Here is a 21170-nt window from a genome sequence, read left to right as displayed (position 1 = left end):
TACCAGGGCGATTAGAGCAAAGTTGCATGATGATGGAGCTCTCACATGAACTGTTTCTAAACAATGATGCAAGTGAGAAGTGAACTGGTCCCCACAATGCTTTGCCAACAAACATTTGAATAGCAGGCACTGCCGCTACTTTCTCATTCTGATGAATGGGAAAAGATGGGTGGGGTGGATGGGTATGTATGCATTTGTGTATGTGCATATAGGTACGTGTGTGTTTGTTGATTGCTAAAGAAAACGATCTACACTTTCTTAACTTTAAAAAACAGTGTTCACTGCATTACTCTTTATAATTCTATATCTTCTTTAAAAATTAGCTAAGTACACACAAACCCAAAGGGATGTCCTTTTTTCAACACACTGCAACTAGTTCAGGGGTGGCAAACATGTGGCACACTTGTGGCCAATGCCCCAAGGGCAGCCTTGCCCAGGGATGTGGGTTGATGCTACCATGGGCTGTTTTGGATTTGGCCTAACCCTACTCACTTCAGAGACAGTAAAAATGATACTGAGAGAAAGAAAGTGGTTTACATATCAGTTCACCAAGCAATGCTACTGGATATGACATAGGCAGGAAACAGAGAAAAATCTCAGCTGCCCTGATTTAACAAAAAAGCTGTTGAATAGCTTCTATCCACAAGACACTGGGCTTAAGTAATGTAATTTGGGGGCAAATCCCATTGTAATAAATTTCCAGGGATCTTGGGTCTAATTTATCGTGTCAAATTAGACTTGCAGTAAGTGGGTCTAGAGCTGGAGTATGAGTGTCCATGTATTACATCAAGGGACCCGTTATGATAGGTTTCATGCTGTCTAGAGTTAAAAAAATTTTCCATATGTTGGCAGATGTGAGATAAATAAATAAATGCATATACACATATATGGCTTTATATACAAAATCATAATGGTAAATATATTTATCCAACATTATTTATGTATTATGTGTCCAAATACCAGTTTATAAACTCTATAACAATCTTTACAATGCTATGAATTCAATAGTTTTTTAAAAGTGAAAACTGCAGCAAAGTGTCATCACTGTTGAATTGAAGGAAATCTTTTAAAATCATAAAAGCAGAAATGCAGAAGTACATAATTTCTCTTACCAGCAGCCTGAGTTCCGGATGCGTCAGGATATATCCATTATTTGTGATTGCAAAGGCATAACCGTGAATCCCTAACTGTAAGAGGAAGCAAGAAAGAAACCTTCATTAGCTTGCTCCCTGGTGAATTCACAAAGCATAAAGCAGCCCGGCATTTAGTAATTTACAGCTTTAACTTGTCATTCATAACCCTTATCAGCACAATATTTCATTAAAATGAATGCAAGGCACTGATCCTTGACATTTGGTGGAAATGAAGACCTGTCAGAGGATAAGCTCAACAAATAGCACAATTTAAAATGTCACATCCCCACATTGGCATCCAAGGGCTTTATTTTGATTTATTTAAAACAAAACAATTACCTTTTTTTTTTAACAAGAAAGTGGCTAATGTTTCTGTAAAGACCCTATGTCCAAGTGCACAGAACTTTATCAATGGAGGTGCCTTCTCTCTGCCTGTAATAAGGAAAGAGGGGTCCCCACGCTGCCTCACTTCTAGACTTCGTATAATTCCACGCCCACAGGGGCCATCTCAAATTGGCGCTCCCCTAGGCCGTCATTTTCCATAATTCTTCAAATATAAAGTGTCCCCCTGTCCCAGCCTACACAGGAGCCTGGCAACCCTTTTCATATCCTTTCGTCTTCAAATTGTGTGGCTGCCTAGCTTTTCCATGCATGCTTCCATCAACACAAAGCCTGGGTAATTTTCTATGCGGAGCCTCACTTGATTTATGTTTTCTGACTAAATGGGACTATGGGAAATAGTTTGTGAGCAATGAAATGTTTTATTAGCTTTAAAAAGTATGTAATCAAATTTAACACTGCACTTATTTAAATAATAATCCCGGCTTTTTGACAATATTTCTATTACACAGTTGACTGCACCCATTGGCTACAATAAATTTACCTACAAATCATTCATGTATTAAAACGGCCTCTGGCATAAAACCCATACTGATCTGTCTCTCTGAAGAAAGAAAATGTAACCCAGTTTTGCCAGAGCAGTGAAAGGGGAGAAGAAAAAAGAAATCCTCTATTTTTTTTTCCTGAGGAGTTTTTTCACAGTTCTGAGCCCCACTGTTAATTTTCTTTAAATTCTCTGCCACTCACATTCTTGAATATGATACTATTAAATGATCCAGACAACAGAGTTTACAAACCAGGAATGACCCTGTCTGCCTGTTAGCTTAACGTCAAGGTGATGTGAAATTAACTTCAGAGAATTTAACACTGGCAATTAAAAGTTTCCGTTGCACTACATAAAGCAAATATGCACATGGTAGTCAAGGGCAACAGACGTCTTCCCTGGAGTTACCTTGCACAGCAAGTCTTAATAAGATTCTACTTGACTCTAATGATAAAAGTATATTTCATTATGCTGTGAAAGATAAACCAGAGATTTCCTATCCTTTGAGATGTATATCGTCTCTTTCATCTTGTCTCTTGGAAAAATGTCAGACACAGTCAACGCTGCATTAATTACCATTATTATGTTTTAGTTTCAGATGGACTGGAGGGGTCAAAAAAAAATCTTGAGAGTTTGGCTTTTTCCATTAAAGGCAAAAATTGTATTTGGGAATTCAAACTCAAAATTAAACAAAACAAATAATATTTTATAGTCAGCTCATGTATTCAGCACCTTCTAATGTACATTACTTTGGTTCTTCTTCTTTTGCTTGTGAGAAGCAATCCTCAAAAGAAGGCAGGACTCCTCTTAATGCCTGTACTCTTATAGTACTTATCAAAATTATAATAATCAATTATCTGTGGGGTTGAGTATAAGTAATCAGGACTTTTGATTATTTCATGCCTGCCTCCCCTACCAGAATGTAAGTTTCATGAGGGCAAAGGTCCTATCGTGCGGTTAACAATATATGGCGGGGTGGTTGGAATAGAGAGATGAGAAGGGAAAGAAGAAAGAGAAAAAGGTGGAAGTAGGGAAACAATAGAAGAAACTGCATTTAGTGCAGATTCTACACAGCTTAGCTAAACTCTCTGCTTCCTCCCCCAGAATGCAGACGCTGAGCTCATCTTCCCATCCCAATGTCCTGTATTCATTAACCAAGTGCCATCTCTGTTTCCTTATTGCCCCTTTATGCCTCAACCCACTGCATTCTGCCTTTGCCCTCCCTCCACCACCAAATATGCCATGGAAATCCCTTTCTCTACGGTTGCCAGGGGCCTCTTCATTGCCAAACCTTACAGGATTTTCTCCCTCAAATCTTCCTACTTTTCTTAGCCCATTGCTTCCTCTTCCTCGACACTATTCCCTCAGTTTCCAGGTCCCATACTCCTGGGCTTTCTCCTTTTCACAGGATCTTTGTCCTTTGCCCATTCCTCAAGTACTCATTTTCCCTAAGATTCTGTCCCCAGTACCTACTGTCTGCCTTAGCTCTCCTCTCCCTCAATAAGCTGCAGTGACCACCTCTGTGCTGCTGCTCCCCAGATCCATGTGCTGGCCTCAGTCTCCCCCTTCAGTGGCAAACCAAGTATCCAACAGGGTAGTGGTCATCTCTTCTTGGCCATTGCTCTGGCACCTCAGACTCACCCAGTCACAGTGGAGTTCTTCTAAAGCTGTTCTTCTTCCTCCTCTCTCAGTAGGCGGCACCACCAACCACACAGACTCCCCAGTTAGAAACTGCAGCATCAGTAGTATGAAATCCTACTAATGTTTTTCTCCAGGTTTGCTCCAATTCCATCCTGCTACCCAACTGTACCACTACTATATTAATTCAATAGATTTCCACAATGGTCCTCACTGCTCTTCCTGCCTCAGAGATTGACCCCAACAAAACCATCCTCCAGGTTGATCCAAGTCAAAGATAATTCTGACCACGTTGCTTTCCTTTGTGACAGCCACTAACAACCCCTTTCATATGTAAGACAGAGCCATAGGCCTGTTCATCAGGTCTCCCTGGGGTCTGGCCCCTGCCTGAGTACCCAACCCTGCCTCCCTCCACTCACTGCCACTCAAGGCACACGGCAGTAACAATCCCCCTGCAATTTTCTCTCCCAGCCAGACCTTTATTGTCACAGTGCCTGCTACCCAAGGCACCCCTCCTTCTCTCTCCCTGTGGCTAATCCTCACCCATGCTATAAGCTCAGCCTCAGCTCATCTCTTGTAAAAAGGCTCTCCTGACCTGCACTTTGCTTTGTCCTTTCCATACCATCATCACTATGTTTACTCTAGCATCTAAAAATGCTATACTTGGCTGGGCACAGTAGCTCATGCCTGTAATCCTAACAGTTTGAGAGGCTAGGCAGGTGGATCACCTGAGGTCAGGAGTTCGAGACCAGCCTGACCAACATGGTGAAACCCTGTCTCTACTAAAAATACAAAAATTAGCCAGGCATGGTGGCGGGCACCTGTAATCCCAGCTACTCGGGAGGCTGAGGCAGGAGAATCGCTTGAACCCGGGAGGTGGAAGTTGCACCACTGCACTCTAGCCTGGGCAACAGAGTAAGGCTCAAAGAAAAAAAAAAAAAAAAAAGCTACACTCACTTTTCCGCCTCTCAACCCTAGGTAGTTCTCTTTCCTTCCTCTGATTTGTCCTAGAAAGAACTGGAGGTGGTCGGGCGCAGTGGCTCAGGCCTGTAATCTCAGCACTTTGGGAGGCTGAGGCAGGCAGATCACTTCAGGTTAGGAGTTCAAGACCAGCCTGGTGAACATGGTGAAACCCCATCTCTACTAAAAATACAAAAACCAGCCAGGCACGATGGTGGGTGCCTGTAATCCCAGATACTCTGGAGGCTGAGGCAGGAGAATTGCTTGAACCTGGAAGGCAGAGGTTGCAGTGAGCCAAGATCGTGCCACGGTACTCCAGCCTGGGTGACAGAGCCAGACCCTGTCTCAAAAAAAAAAAGAAAAGAAAAAAAAGAAAAAGAGAAAAGAAAAGAAAAGAGAAGAAAAAAGAAATAACTGGAGGCAGTACTTCCTCCATCAGAATGAGCTCTTTGTGGGAAAGGGGCCACCTCACTTACCTTTGACTTCTACAGTCCCTAGGACAAGGTCAGGCATGTGGCAGGCATTCAGTTACAGTTTGTGTATTTTAGACATTTGCCACTTAACTCAAATGTTACCTAGCTCATCTTGAAAATTCCAACTAAAGTAAATATTAAAAACAAGCTGAAAAGGAGAAGCCAATTTGCTCCAGGAGATGCACAGCCAGTCCTTCTTAAGCCTGTACCTGAGAAAGTCTTCCTGATATTCAGAAACTGGTTAAAATCCTCCCCAGGAAAGCATTCTGAGAAAATAACATCAGAATGTTTTGTGTGTTGGTTGATGGCATATAGCTACATCCTAATGTAGACAAAGGAAGGGCAGCTCTGACCACATCTCAAAATACAACACATTCTGTGGATGAGTCTCTCAAATAATTAAAAGCTTATATGACGAAGTCCAACATTAGTTTTTGGCCACAAATCAATACACTGATGAAATCGCTAATTTTGGTTTTATCCAAAATAGAACCAGTCTTCCTGTCCATTCTAATGTACAGTGCCATGGAGTAATGGAGAACAGATCGGACACAAGGCCTTCCAGCACTTGGGCTTGCCAAAGGGGCCCTGGACCAGAGGCATATTCTCCTGGAGGCCAGAAGCCACGTGGTCCAACAGCCTGGGGAAAGGAGGCACTTCCCTTCCAACTGGAGAGTCTGGGCTAATGAAGTGAACCCAATTATAAAATGGCTCGTTATGTTAACAGAGGTCGTGGTGTCTGGAAATTATTGCTGGGGTGTCTGGAATTCTTAATAAAAATTACAGGAAGTCTGATTGCTTGTGGGAAAATCTATGAAGCTAAGGGAGAAAGAAAGAATTCTATCTTCTGGGAAAACCCCAAGAGCCAAGAGCTGACTCATCTTTACAAGGTGTTAATCAGGAGGGCAAGGTGTGACCTGAACTCTGTTCCCTGGAGCTCTCCTCTCCTGGATGAGAGGGGCCCATTTGGCCATGGCTGTCCCTGGCTGACACGTACCCCTTTCACAAAGCTCTGTATGGGAACCAGAGGGAAGGATGCCTTAGGTTAACTTATGCCATATCTACGTCAATGGTTCCCAGCTTGACCCTTGGAAAAGCACAAAACACACATGCCTGCATTTCAAGCACTGCTGGTTAATTTTCTATAGTTGATCTTCTTCCTCTATTCCCTTGTTATGCTTCGTTTCCTTCATCTGTTACTAGCAGAATGATGTTGAGAAAGTTATTTCAAGCATCCTTAAGTAAAAATGAGGCCGAAGGGTCCCCACTTCATGGGAATGTAATAAGAATTCAACAGGAATAATGCATGTAAAGTACTTTGGATGACACCAACCACATAGTAAGAAGTTCAATAAATGTTTTAGTGTATTTTAGTTATTATTATCATTTTAACTATTACTATTATGATTGTCATTGCTCTTATTGTTCTTGGTAGCATTGTGGTTACAGAGGTTAAAATCATGGCTCTTGGGGCCCGGCACGGTGGCTCATGCCTGTAATCCCAGCACTTTGGGAGGCTGAGGCGGGTGGATCATGAGGTCAGGAGGTCGAGACCATCCTGGCTAACATGGTGAAACCCCATCTCTACTAAAAATATAAAAAATCAGCCAGGTGTGGTGGCGGGCACCTGTAGTCCCAGCTACTCGGGGGGCTGAGGCAGGAGAATGGCGTGAACCCAGGAGGTGGAGCTTGCGGTGAGCTGAGATCATGCCACTGCACTCCAGCCCTGGGTGACAGAGCGAGACTCCGTCTCAAAAAAAAAAAAAAAAAAAATCATGGCTCTTGGCAGGGTGCAGTGGCTCACGCCTGTAATCCCAGCACTTTGGGAGGCTGAGGCGGGTGGATCACCAAGTCAGGAGTTCAAGACCAGCCTGACCAACATGGTGAAACCCCATCTCTACTAAAAGGACAAAAATTAGCCAGGCATGGTGGCGTGCACCTGTAATCCCAGCTACTTAGGAAGCTGAGGCAGGAGAACCGCTTGAACCCAGGAGGTGGAGGTTGCAGTGAGCTGAGACGGTGCCACTGCACTCCAGCCTGGGCCACAGAGTGAGAGTCCATCTCAAAAAAAAAAAAAAAAAAAAAAAAAGACATGGTTCTCCTGCTTGCAAGATGTGAGATTTGGCAAGATATTTAAGCTTTCCATGCCTCAGTTTCTTTAACTATAAAATGGGGGTGACCGTAATGTTTACTTAGTAAGCGAGATAATGCCATAAAGAGCTCTGCACATTGCCTGGTAGAGGAAGCTTGGAGAAATGGACACAAAGGATAATTGTTACTGGTTCCTTGTCATGTTCCTTCTTTCTTGATTTATTGGACACGTATCAAGTAGTGGCTCGGTGCTTAGGTTTCTAAATCTCCTCATGTGAAATAAGAGGCTCAAGAATTGTTTGGAAAAGTTCTCTACAGGTGGGATGCCTTTTCTGAAACTGAGCCAGCAGTTCTGGACACCTAGGTCTGGCAATTTCATCAAAAGTCAAGTCCACTATCTTTAGGGGCCTCAAAGTCTTCCCTCATCTCCATCTTTGACTTTTAGTTTCTCAGGAACTACAGTTTCCAATATTTATTATGTGGGTTTGGATCAATGAAATGTCCTTTCATGCCTCTGGGAACTTAACTCCAATTATAAAAGCCCTGGTGGATGAAGCTGGGGAACGAGGGATTGGAGGGACTTGTCCACACCCACCTCATCAACGATGGAGCCAGGAACCTGCAGAGTCAAGCTCTAACCACTGCCTGCCTCCACCTGAGGCCCAGGAAAGCCCAGGTCCCCCTCACAGCTGTGGTGAATCAGGCCCCAGCACATCAGGGAGGGTGGTGCCAAGAAAGAAGCCCCTGGCAGCCAATAATCCCTGATTCCTGGGCTCCCTTTAGATGGAGACAAAGAGAACCCTCGTTAATCTGAGTGGGCCAGAAATGGAGACCAGCTAGCCAGTCAGCTTGGTGCTGGGGGAGAAGGGGGTGGATGTGGTGTTCGCCCCTGTGCAGCCAGTGGAGCCCTTCGTCCAGTGAATCAACCAGATCTGGTGGGGGCTGCTCTCTGATGCCTCTGGCATGCACATGCTCATGCCTACATTTAGAGCACTCTTGGGCAGTGCTGTGTGCCTGGGTTGTGCCTCAAGGGCATCCCCCTCCCACTTTTTGATTTGTTTTTCCAAAGAGTCCCCACCAGGAAATAGGAGAGTTTTCTGGATGGGGTCTAAGAACTCTCCGGACTATTTTTTTTTTATTTTTTGATATGGAGTCTCGCTCTGTCGCCCAGGCTGCAGTGCAGTGGTGCGATTTCAGCTCACTGCAAGCTCCGCCTCCTAGGTTCACGCCATTCTCCTGCCTCAGCCTCCCGAGCAGCTGGGACTACAGGCGCCTGCCATCACGACCGGCTAATTGTTTTGTATTTTTAGTAGAGACGGGGTTTCACCGTGTTAGCCAGGATGGTCTCCATCTCCTGACCTCGTGATCCACCCGCATCGGCCTCCCAAAGTGCTGGGATTACAGGCGTGAGTCTCCACGCCCGGCCTGGACTATCTTTTTAAAAGGCAAACCAGTCATGTTGATATCCTGTGTGTATCAGAAAAATTCAATGATCATGTCAAAACTTAAGATATAACATTGATTCTTTAAACTGAGGTTAGAGGAGGTAAATAAGAAAAACAGCAAGTCATTGTAAATAATAAAAAAAAAACCTTTTAAATAACTGTGCAGATGGTATAAAGACAAGCTAACAGGCTGTAATAGTGGTGAGCAAAAACATCGCTCCAAAGTAGAGTTTGAAGCCTGAACTTTGTGAAAACAAGGCTCTGGGCATCTCTGTTGCTTTGATTTCAGGGATTAGGTCATTCATTACCTTGTATTTGGGGATGGTCTTCAGAAGTTCTTTCACTGGGACATCTGTGCCAACCACTCCCAGAAGAATGCCCTTCGATCTCTGTCGAAAATAAACATTGAATTATAATAACAGTAAGTTAACTTGGCAAAAGAAATAGAATCTCACGAGAAGTCACATACCGTCTGCCTGGTGCCTTCCCCAAACTGATACAGATTGAGGATTAACCCATATCTCCAAGAATGGTCTCTTCTATCCCCCACCCTCCACCCAAAATGTTACTGGGTAAAATGAGAGCTTCTCAGGCCAACCATTAACTACTACAGTCCCCAACGCATAATCCTACCAAGATACTACAATAGCTTCCCTCTCCTCTCTTGAAAATTAAACACTGATTTGAAGAAACACAAGAGTTTCAGCAGCTAAGGGCTCTAAACGTTCACCAGTTTCTCTTATGAAAGCTTTTTACAGGAAAGACAGCATGTTAACTGCTTTCTCAATTTACACTGCCATCTGGTGCCCAGGAGAGAGAGTCTAAATAGCAAGAGAAATATATAATAACCCTAACACTTTTACCAACTGAGGACCAAGGTGAAGGAATAGGCCTCTGGAGCCCCATTTTCCAAGGCATGTAGCCATTGTGATTTGCTAAAACTTTTCAGTGTCAGAAAGGCCATTTTTTTAAGGCTTTATGGTGAGTTGAACAGTGTCCCCCCAAGTTCATGTCCACCCAGAACCTCAGAATATAATGCTATTTGGAAATAGCATCTTTGCATACGTAATTGTTAAGGATCTTGAGATGAAATCATCGTGGATTTAGCGTGGGCTCTAAATCCCATGACTGATTTCCTTACAACAGGGAAGGACACAGAGAGACATATAAGAGGAACAGGTCACATGGAAACAGAGGCAGAGATTGGAGTGACACTGCCACAAGCCAAGGAATGCTGGGGGCCCCGAGAAGCTGAAAGAGGCAAGGAGAAATTCTTCCCTAGAACCTTCAGAGGGAGCATGGCCCTGCTGACATCTTGATTTCAGACTTCCAGGCTCTAGAACTGTGAGAGAAGAAATTTCTATTTTTTTAAGCCACACAGTTTGTGGCACTTCATTCCTAACAGCCCTAGGAAACTAATAAAAGGCTGGTAACTATAAATGAGAGTGGTCAGTGCACCATAATCATGGATGGTCTCTGGGGCTTTTCCTCCTCTGGTCCTCTAATACTTAAACTTTGGAAAGGTGTTGCCAACTCTAAAATGATGCCAGCCTGGGTTCCTCTCATCTGTTTTTGATTTGGTGATTCTAACAGCAAGATCAAACAATAAGGAAAAATGACATACATCCTATGCTTAAAAATCAAAAGTCACCAGAGCTGGAGTCAGAGGGGGTCTGAGAAAACCACCCTCCTAGCATCAAGCAGGAAGCTCAGCGACTGTACTCACGGTTTCGTTCTGCTTACTAAACACAGGCATGGCTACAGTGGTCATCAGGACGGGGCCCTGATCATCAGTCAGCTGGATGGAAGAGAAAAGCCAGTTACCGGGGAACGGTCTGGAAACCACAGTTCTGGAGGCCACCCCCTTGACAATCATGTCCTTTCCAAACCAGGGGCTGTTGAGATGGAACAGTGCCCACTCAAGCCTTTAGTGGAGCGCGGAGCACAATGTGTGTCCTGGATTTGCAGAGGACAGTCCCAGCCCCCAGCTGGGGAAACAAATCATTTGTCATTAGTCACTCTAGCAGATCTGTTCTCTGCTTTCAGCCACTTTGGTTCAAAGAGAACCTTGTTTGGATCTTCCTGATTCATTTTATTTTATTAGCACAGGTTTATTTTACTATTTTGCCTCCCAGACACTTATGTTTCTTAAGAGTGCTTCTCCGTAATCTAAATATTGAGGATCAGAAAGCATGCACATAAAGGGTCTGGTGAGTTGCCCCTGCTAAAAACAACAGAATCTGGATGCACTTATTTTCCCCAAGGTAGCCAGTCAAGGCTGTTTTACCTCTCTGGGTCTCTGAATGCCAGTCCCAGATGGAAAACAAATAAAACAAAAACAAAATTAAATAATAACTTTATTATCTGACTTCTAAAATCATGATGAAGAAGGTAATCATTTCTCTTATAAGAATGGCCCTTGAGGACAGGCGTGGTGGCTCACATCTGTAATCCCAGCACTTTGGGAGGCCAAGGCAGGCAGATCATGAGGTCAGGAGACTGAGACCATCCTGGCTAACATGGTGAAACCCCGTCTCTACTAAAAATACAAAAAATTAGCCAGGTGTGGTGGCAGGTGCCTGTAGTCCCAGCTACTCGGGAGGCTGAGGCAGGAGAATGGTGTGAACCCGGGAAACGGAGCTTGCAGTGGGCCGAGATAGTGCCACTGCACTCCAGGCTGGGTGACAGAGCGAGACTCTCTCCCAAAACAAAAACAAAAAAAAAAAAAAAGAAAAAAAAAAAGAATGGCCCTTGAAATACAGCATGTGATTCACGTCTGTAAACCTCTCAATTGGGTTACAGACACATGGAGACACACCATTGCACCTGCTTTTTACACAGTGTTGGGAGACAGGCAGGAACCCCTACTCTGTCCCAAACAAATAGGGAAACAGAGTCTTGGAACATGGTAGGCTTTGGCCCAAGACAAATCTGGTTCTAAATCTCAGCTCTGAATCTTTCCTAACTGCACTAGTGAAGTCTCCACATGCTCATATGAAATAATGCCCACTATTCCCCAGCACTGTTGCCATGAAGACAAAACAGAAAACTGCCCAGCATGGTACCTGGCATATGGAAGTGCTCAAAGGATGCCAGCTTCTTTTCTCTGCCTTCGAGGTCACACAGCTAGTAAGTAGCAGAGTCCAAAATGAGATTAAGGCTGGAGGCACTGCTGACAGGCACCAAAATTGACCAGGCAAGTCCTTCTGGCTTCGTAGCCTGTTCAAGCCCCAAGTGAAGCAATCCGTGAACTAGAATCCACTATCTTCAACCTAGCGTGTTTTCTGATATTTGGACACTTCTCTTCCATAGCTTTAGTTCCACAGAATAATCAGGCATTGCTCCCTCAATCTACTTGGAAAGAGGCATTATAAAGAGAAGATCCTAAAATCTAAGCGTTTGAAGCCCCCATTGACTGGCTGGTCTCTTGAGTAAAGGTCATTAAACTTAGTCTTTCTTTTGCCTTGTTCTTCTAATAGATTATTAGAGCTGTGGGGTGTCACTACTTACAATGTAGTACCCAGAACAGCAGCACCTGTAGCACCTAAGTGCTTGTTAGTCTCAGGCCCCATTCCAAACACTCTGAATGTGAATAATTATTTTAATGATTCGTATGTATATTAAAATGCAAGAAGCATTCGTATAGGGCAATCCTTTCCATTTCATTTCCACCAATAATCATGACAGCTAAAGAGAAGCTGGCAGGTGTTGGAAAAAAACTCCCAACAGGGGTGGAGGGGGCCATGCTTTTATAAGTTTTACATGGATATCAAGATAGTCCTATATCCCTCCGTGACAAGTAAAATGAAGCAAGAATCTCCTGGTCTGTCTAGGACTGGGAACTCATGGTGACATGGTTAATTTTATGTGTCAACTTGGCTAGGCCATCATGCTCAGTTGTTTGAGCAACTGCCAGTCTAGATGTTGCTGGGAAGGTGTTTTTTAGATGTGACTAACATTTTAATCAGTAGTAAAGCAGATTATTCTCCATAATGTGGGTGGGTCTCATCCAATCCATTGAAGGCCTTAAGAGAAAAGACAAGGCCCCCCTCAAAAGAAGGAATTCTGCCTGTAGACTGTCTTCAAACTCAAGACTGCAACATCAACTCTTGCTGCAATTTCCAGCATGTCAGACTGCCTGCCTTGCAGATTTCAGACTTGCCAGCCCCACAATTGTGTAACCCAATTCCTTAAACTAAATTCCTCCCCACCCTATCTGTATAGCCTATCTCTAGCTCTATAGGCTATCTCTAGAGAACCATGACTAATAATATACATGGTAATCATATAAGTGATTATTTTGGGCACCCTAATTTGGGTGAAAGAATATGTAAACAACTTTAATTCATCAATATAATAAACAAAAAATATTAACTATGAGATGATGCTGACAGTTAGTGTTGCCATGAACCAAGTCAACCAGTATATACAGTCTGTAATAGTTTTTGGAAACATGGTTCTAACATCTTGCTTAAAATACTCAAAGCATACTGTGGCCACCACTGGAAACCTGCAAGGCCATTTTCAAAGGCAGAACCAGCCCATGGTAAATAGTTCTCTTAGAATTAGAAGTCTTCCCATATTCTGACTCCTTGATTAATCGTTAATGCTATAAAGAAAACTGATTTGAGCTGATCCATAACTCCGCACAACTTCCACTTTGCAACTCAAATCAAATTTCAAGCAGTGCCAACATGTAACATGGATGAAATAAAAACATACCATTGACAATAATGAGAAATGAAGCCTTTTTCCTGCAACCAGTAAAAATCAGTTATAAATTACTAGTAATTGTCCTGGCACAAAGACAAGATTATGAGAAACTAACTTCAAAATATTAAGCCAGAATATAGTATCAACTTCACTCAGGAGCTAATTCCAAATGTAATTACTGCATCATTACTTTAAAAAAGAAACCCATAATATTGCATTTGTACTGAAACCATTCATTTGTAACCAGCCCCAGGTAAACAAAGGAAATGCATTCAGTTCAGTCTGGCAACAGTTCACATGTGGGCCAATGATCTCATGGACCTCTCCTAGGGGCAGTTCTGGCCCCAATTTGAACTGGCTTGGCCAGAACCCTAACCCGTAGGCTTTCCTATGTATACCAGTTCATCATTATGGCAACAAAGACTGGCAGGAACACAGAAATACCATTTGCAGAAAATTAAGACTCTCTTCTGCACCCACCAGCTCCATCATTCCCAGTCCCCACAGGTCTGGACTCTGTGAATCTTAAACGTTTCATGGAGAAACACATCAATTTGCAAGTTCATTTGCACTGTAAGCACTTTATGATTGAAAGGCATTCTATACTCTTGCCATAGGAAATAGCAGTCAATGGCAAGTTTTGTTTTTTTTTTCCCAGACCACCAAGCAGAAGTTATGCAGCCAACTATGGCCAGAAACCCTCTGTCCCCCAACACGTTGCTAGGGGGGTCCCTGCTTTTCTGTGGCCCCCCAACCTGTAGCTGCTACTGAGGCAAGGGTGCTGCTTATGATTCATACATGTGGCTTCCAAGAAAAATGCAGACGTAGAGTCAACATTCATTTTCCAAGGGGTAGGAGCAGGAGGTGGGGGTCACCATGGTCCATCTGGGCAAAATCCCATTAACTTAAGTCCAAGTGGGAATCTTAAAATGAACTGCTATGCAATTACACTTGCCCAGGCTTTAAGCAGGCCTCTGAAACCTGTGGTTGTGGTGCTCTGTTGTATACTAAGTATATATTATTCCATATCCTTCATTTCCCATGCTACATAATGGGGACCATTTGGGTATCAAAGGAAATGATGAATAATAATACTGAACATCTGGTTTATAAAACACAAACTTGCTCAACAGATTGACTGCTTCCTGTCAGCTTCCCAAGTTAATCATGCATGTAGGCTCATATGAATATGCATTTGAACTCATGTGCAAGGTCCACGTGGCCATGCCAGGCCTACTCCTTAATACTTGATTAGTTTCCCACTGATGGCACCAGTTGGCAACATGGCTAGACCTAGGGCATGACCCCAGAGAGTATAACAACACAGGACTTGTGACCCATCCATTTTGCTGCTGGCCTAGTCACCTACTCATTGATTTCCTTAATAAACACTCCTCGAGCATCAGCTATGTTCCAGGTTCCATGCCATGTGCTGGGAAGACAACTAGGAATAAGGCATGGGTCTTATCCCCAAGGAGCCTCAAGTCTGCTAAGGGAGAAAGAAAAGCTAACATGGCAGAGGAAGAACTAGCTGGGAATGGCATGCTGGCTCTCATTCGGTGAGCAGAGAGGCTCTCTTTTCCAAGTCCAGCATGAACTAAAGTGAAAATGCCTGGTGTTTATCAATATCTGTCAGGGTTTATATGACAGATTCAGAATGCTTCCTGAAAGCCAGTCTAACAAACGCAGGAGAAAGTAGTCTGCCGCAGAGTGATTTCATTCCATTGCTTTATACTTAAGGATATTGGTAAATGGAACAATGCAGGGGTAGACATCTTGTAAACTGCCTGGCCCCTTTCTTTTCCTTCTTCTGCAGGTATCACCCACTTCCTTTAGGAAAGTCCTCTTCACCCCGTCCAACCACAAGGTTTCTTAGCAGTCAAGCTCTCCCATCCTGAGTGTGGGGATGGACAGCCAACCCAGGCTGTGTTAACCAGAGCACTTCACACACAGAAGTGTGCACACACACACTCTGCGCGAGCTGCACTGGTAAGTTTATTAACTAGGCATGTAGTTCAGGCTAGGCTACCTGAGATGTTTTTCTTTTTCTAACCAGGAGCAAATGGGAAAGACTACCTATTCTCCTTTGTGAATGGCTATAAGAATGTCAGCTTGACAGCCGTGTCCCCTTGCCACAGAGAGGCGATGAGACTGAATAAAATAAACTCAACAGAGAGGAGGAGAGACGTGTGTGTGTGTGTGTGTGTGTGTGTGTGTGTGTGTGTGTGTGTGACAGAGAAGAGAGAGATAAAGAGGGAGGGAGGAAAAAAAAGAGGGAAAGGGCGGGAGGGTACCTGTCCCTGAATGCCTTCATTCCCAAGATCAATTCCACCAATGCCCCTTTTCCATTATGGGGTTGCCTGAGCCAATAAGTTTTCTCTTTTAGCTTCAATGAGCATGAAATGGATTTGTAACTCTTAGACATACCAATCTGGGCCATAAATGACCTAGGCAGCTCTAGATACCCACTGAGGTGGTCCCAAGTGCCATGTACAATCCACACAAAGGAGAAATTTCTGAGGCCAAAAAGGCCAAAGGCAAAAGGGTACCAACATTCCCAAGATGGATGGTTGCATATCTTTCCCACAAGAGAAGAAATTTAGGTACCTGCAAAGTACCCAAATACTGATGGTAATGACTACTCTTTATGATGGTATAAAAGACTATTGTCACTAGAATTTTATGTCAAGCCTTCACAATGAGTAGAAGTTTGGCTGCTTCCCCAGTGGTTGCCCATGGTGGGGAGCAGCTGTGGCTATGTGCTTGCTGTCTGGGCAGCCTCCACCTTTGAAGGACATCTGTTTGGGTTGCCTTCTTCATAACTCTATTCAGAGGAAGCTTGCCAGGACTGGTGGCAGAAGCCTCTGTTTCTCCTGCAGCTGGAAGCCCCTGGGGGTGAATGCCAAGCTGCAGAGAAAGGAGGCAAGCTGGACCTGGAAGGCATCTGAGCAAGCCAAGGACAGCACTCTTGGCAGCCCATTTGAGGACTGCCAGGTGGTTTTCAGCGGAGCCGCCTGCCAGATCTGCTCAGCCCTAGAGGCTTGGGCTTAAAGGGAAGGTTGTGCACAAATGGTGGACTCAGCTCAGATACAGGACTGGCTCCAAGTCAAGAACAAAAGCTAATCCACTAACTCTCATCAAATATCATATTTCTTCTATATTTTGCTCCTCTTACATTTGTGTTGCTTTATTATTAACATTGATCAACATATTGACTATGTTAGTAAATAATATAAATGTATAATACTATAATACATAAATATTTTATATGTGTGTGTATAACTTGTGAATACGCAGCGGTGTTTCTGCTAGCTTCCTTTCAACACCTGCGAGGAACTTCAACCTGCACTCTATGAAAAGACACTGCCACCATCTAGTGGCCATTAGGGTAAATTGCAGGCACGAGGTCCTGGACGACAAAAAGCCATTTCCAGAGTATGGGCCTTACAAACAAAAATATATTTAGGGGCCAGGTGCGGTGACTCACGCCTGTAATCCCAGCACTTTGGGAGGCCAAGTGGCCAAATCCCAGCACTTTGGGAGGGCGGATCACCTGAGGTTGGGAGTTTGAGACCAGCTTGGCCAACGTGGCGAAAACCCGTCTGCACTAAAAATACAAAAATTAGCTGGGCGTGGTGGGGGCACTCCTGTAATCCCAGCTACTCTACTTGGGAGGCTGAGGCAGGAGAATTGCTTGAGCCCAGGAGGTGACGGTTGCAGCAAACCGATATCGTGCCATTGTGCAACAGCCTGGACTGCAGAGTAAGACTCCATCTCAAAAAAAAAAAAAAAAGTATTTAAATGCCAGCTGATGTCGTTTAGTTACCTACCCAACTGAAGCAAAGACCGGCGGTTATCAACAATTAGGTCTGATAATAACATTTGCCTTGACAGAAAAGGAGTAGTACTAAGAGGTGGAAAAACACAGCTGTGCACATCTATAAATCAGACGAGACATTATGAAAAGAGAACCATTGATTCTTTAAGATAACCAGAATCTGGGCTGGGCGTGGTGGCTCACGCCTGTAATCCCAGCACTTTGGGAGGCCAAGGCAGGTGGATCATGAGGTCAGGAGTTCAAGATCAGCCTGGCCAAGATGGTGAAATCCCGTCTCTACTAAAAATACAAAAAATTAGCCAGGCGTGGTGATGGGTGCCTGTAATCCCAGCTACTCAGGAGGCTGAGGCAGAGAATTGCTTGAACCCAGGAGGCAGAGAATTGCTTGAACCCGGGAGGCAGAGAATTGCTTGAACCTGGGAGGCAGAGGTTGCAGTGACCTGAGATCTTGCCACTGCACTCCAGCCTGGGTGACAGAGCAAAACTCCATCTCAAAAAAAAAAAAAAAAAAAAAAAAAAAGATGAAGAAGAAGAAGAAAAGATATGCAGAATCTGAGAATGTGACAGGGGAGCTTAGCAAAGGAGAGGTTCTTTCACACCCACTTTCTCAAATGCAGCTTGAACAAAAGGGACACCAACTCCTTGGCACTTTCACCTCTCCCCATGAGCTTAAGTTTATCAATGACTTGGGAATTCTTAAGGGCCATTCTCTGGGTAGCACATAATAGGGTTAATGGGGTGAGGCTGGGAAGAAATGTCACCCATGTCCTGCAGTTTGCACACTCCATGGCAAGGAGAGAGGAAGACAACAGAAAGCCATCAGAACAGCTCTCTGTACAATTAGTTTGTGAGGGCACCAGGGAGAACAGCAGGGAGACGTACATCTGGAAAAGGGGATGTAAGCAGACTATGTGGCAATTTAGATACCTTCCCCAAACAAAGTCTCTGCACCCTTCCCTCCTCCACCAGCCAAAAAAGTCCTCTGTACCTAACCTTTCAATGGCCAACTACTTGCACCACCCCCAAATCTCCCACCCACTTCCATCATCACAACATCTCTTATCCTCAACACTGGGCAGACATGTCAGGGAAAGAATCTAGTAAGACTGTGCTAGGCATGTTCAGGAGGATGTTTTCTCTGGAGACACACCCCCAGTAGAGATACAGACACCTTTTGGAGGAAGAACACAGGTGAAAATCCACTGAAACGTGGGGCAGGGAGATCCTATTGCATCTCATGCCTGGAAAGGGACCACAGTATTGATTCTGCCTACTTGGCTAATGTTAACATCATCTGACTCTGGCTGTGGATTTTGCTCTGCTCTTATATTCTTTAGATTTCCACTACTTTTAGTGATAATCTTAAGGTTTGCTGATTGTGAGCAGTTTTAATTGAGAGACTTTACAATTAGAATAAGAAACAAGAATAAGAAATAAGTAAACCTTTCAAGTAACATGTCCTCTTGCTTTTCACTTGATTGTCTTGGTAAAGTGTAATCACTAAATCTTGAGAATGCTACAAAAAAGATATTTTGCTTTTAGCCAAAACATTTTCCCTCTTCTTACTGAATCATTATTACTTGCATTTGAGATCTGGAGATTCCATATTCTTCCATGAGATTTCACTGCATTTTAACTTGTTTAAATACAAAAGTAAACAGATTTCCCTCTTTGAACTTTAACTGCATCTTGTATGAGCTAAATTGTTGAATTTGTTTGTTCTCTTTCTCTTCTTAACAAACTGAAGACAACTTTGTGAATATAATGCTGGACAATCTTGGAACATCTATATGAGAATCTAAAAACAGTCCTCTTCTAATAAAATTGTTATTATTCGGGAACATTTTGATATTCTGTCCTTTTGTTCCAGTGATTCTAGGATATGTCATTAAGAAAGGAATATGTTTTATGAGTAAACTTCTAGATAGAGGGAGGATACTGCCTTTGACCATGAACATATATAAATAAAGCCATGGTCATGAGAATATCACTGATTAACATATCTGAAAGCTGTCTTGGAAACCGCTTTGTTGGTTTATTTGGGTATAACCTGCTTATTTCAAGAATGCCCAGGACTAATGACAATGAAAATTATCATGAGGCATTGGATTTTGGTCAATATTTATGATGAGCCATGACACATAATTGACCCCCCATGGTGGCCAAATGTTCATATTTTCACAAACGTGGTTTAGACACCTCCAAGTAGATGCCCTGAAAACACAGGCAACTGTCAGAGCTTTGGGGCCCTGGGACAAAACCTTCTCCTTGTTTAAAGACCCCCTGAAATGCTGCTTCCTCCATAAAACCTTCCCTAACTAAGTGGAAATGAGAACCAGATGTTCTCAAACTTCACTACAAAGATAATCATCTTTATTCTACAACCAAAGATACCATCTAGGACCAAAATTTGTGCAAACTGTTAATGAAGCAAAGTCACTGAACACTGTGGCTGGAAGAAATGCTGGGAATTGTGTAAAGCCTGTGAACTCCAAGGGCAGAAGCTGGGAAAGATTCCTCTTTTCATCCACGGCATTTAGCACAGAGCCTGGTACACAAGACATGCCCAGCAAATGGTCCTTAAATGAATTTATTCCAACACTATCGTTTAATTTATTTCACAAATGAGGCCCAGGGAGTAAAGAAGGCAGAGAAAATTAGTACCAGAATTCAGGCAAGACTCTGGGGCTAGTGCTCCCTCTTTCACATTATACAGTCTCTCCTTGCTCACGGCTCCTTCACTGAATATCTTTGTGTATTTTGCCTGTATCAATGTGGTTGGACTGAGACTGTAAGGAAGTGCTGAGAAGCTGGTGCACAACGTCCAGCTGATGTCACAGTGATAAAAGAAAAGGACTTAAAAAAAACACAGCTTAGTTGAACACTGCAATGTGCTTAGCAGCACGGAGAAGACAAAAAGTAACAAGCAAACGGAAGCAAACAGACCTGCATTAACATGCTGGAGAAGGTTACTCAAACTTGCTGAGTCATTTTTATTGATCTATCTTTCCATCCTTCCTTCTGTCTATCCATCCACACGCCTACCTTTCCATATCCATTGCCAAATATCATTTGTACTTGCTACCAAACGTTGCTGTGAATGTTTTGCATCTACGTAGCCTTAAATTGAACCCTGACAAAGACGTTGCAAGTGCCTACGCACATTTCACAAGTGAAGGAGTTAAAAAGGCAAAGTGCCTTGCTTCAGGTACAGAAAACAGCAGAGTAGAGATCTGAGTCTTGGTCTACCTGATGCCAGAGCCTGTGTAGTAACCACTCCACCCTCAGACTCTTGTTTTGGGGTGCAAAGACAAATGCCATGTTTGGCCCTCAGGAGTTTGAAGTGTAGCAAAGGAGGTTGCAATCAAGCAAATCATCCTTCAAATAGGAAAAGTCCTTAGAGTTCTTGGAGGCATTAAATGAATTATAGACATAAAGTGCCTAGCACAGTGCCTGGGACATCTGACAAGTGCAATTAATCTCATAAAGACCATTCCAGACTAGGCCAGAGAAATTCTTATGCTTCTTTGAAATCCAAAGATTTGAACTTCATCTATCTCCTGAATTGCATAAATAAAATAGGAAGACATGTTTCCTTTATCCCATGATCAAATATCTTGGTCTTAACAGTTAAATAATATGAAAGCAGTTGGTGGGGGTGGGGAGTGGTTAATTATAATTAATTATGATCATAAATATTAAAGGAGATTAGGAAGGATGCACACTGGGAAGGAAGTTGTTATAGAGGAAGGGAGTCTGGGAAGAAGGGACAGATGCTTCAGAAGTACCCAGCCTGTAAATCATCTAATGTGTTCCAGGCCTGGGCAAATATGGATGGGTCCCATCCAAGCACACAGGGCTCATGATTCAGCAAGTGGTTCAATTTCGTGAGTCATTTCTGGAAAAAGAAAATCCATACCACGACATTAGTCTTTGCTTGACATTTTCTACTTCATGAAACTTGGTTGGGTTTTCCAAAATCCTTCTAGTTAATTT

At 43.3% G+C, this 21170-nt stretch overlaps 1 protein-coding gene across 1 annotated transcript in view, besides 1 other annotated feature; it reads right to left on the bottom strand.

Moving 5' to 3' along the window:
• The window catches only part of CACNA2D3 (calcium voltage-gated channel auxiliary subunit alpha2delta 3), a 952006-nt gene that overhangs the window by 226978 nt on the left and 703858 nt on the right, over positions 1–21170 (bottom strand). The window contains exons 15-17 of the mRNA NM_018398.3: positions 10350–10421; positions 8932–9012; positions 1113–1187 (exon numbers count right to left, since the gene is read on the bottom strand). Of these exons, the coding sequence (NP_060868.2) occupies positions 1113–1187; positions 8932–9012; positions 10350–10421 (228 nt within the window). The remainder of the gene's footprint in view (positions 1–1112; positions 1188–8931; positions 9013–10349; positions 10422–21170) is intronic.
• Positions 3722–4223: an enhancer, noted in NCBI's record as "NANOG hESC enhancer chr3:54877384-54877885 (GRCh37/hg19 assembly coordinates)". NCBI's record gives its function as "activates a minimal SCP1, AML or CMV promoter by ChIP-STARR-seq in naive H9 embryonic stem cells {active_cell/tissue: H9 hESC(naive)}" and the evidence as "EXISTENCE:reporter gene assay evidence [ECO:0000049][PMID:30033119]".

Source organism: Homo sapiens, chromosome 3 (assembly GCF_000001405.40).
Source record: "Homo sapiens chromosome 3, GRCh38.p14 Primary Assembly".
In the NCBI taxonomy this organism is placed as follows: Eukaryota; Metazoa; Chordata; class Mammalia; order Primates; family Hominidae; genus Homo; species Homo sapiens.
Note: the sequence above shows the minus strand (reverse complement) of the source record. Positions and strands in the feature narration are given on the sequence as shown.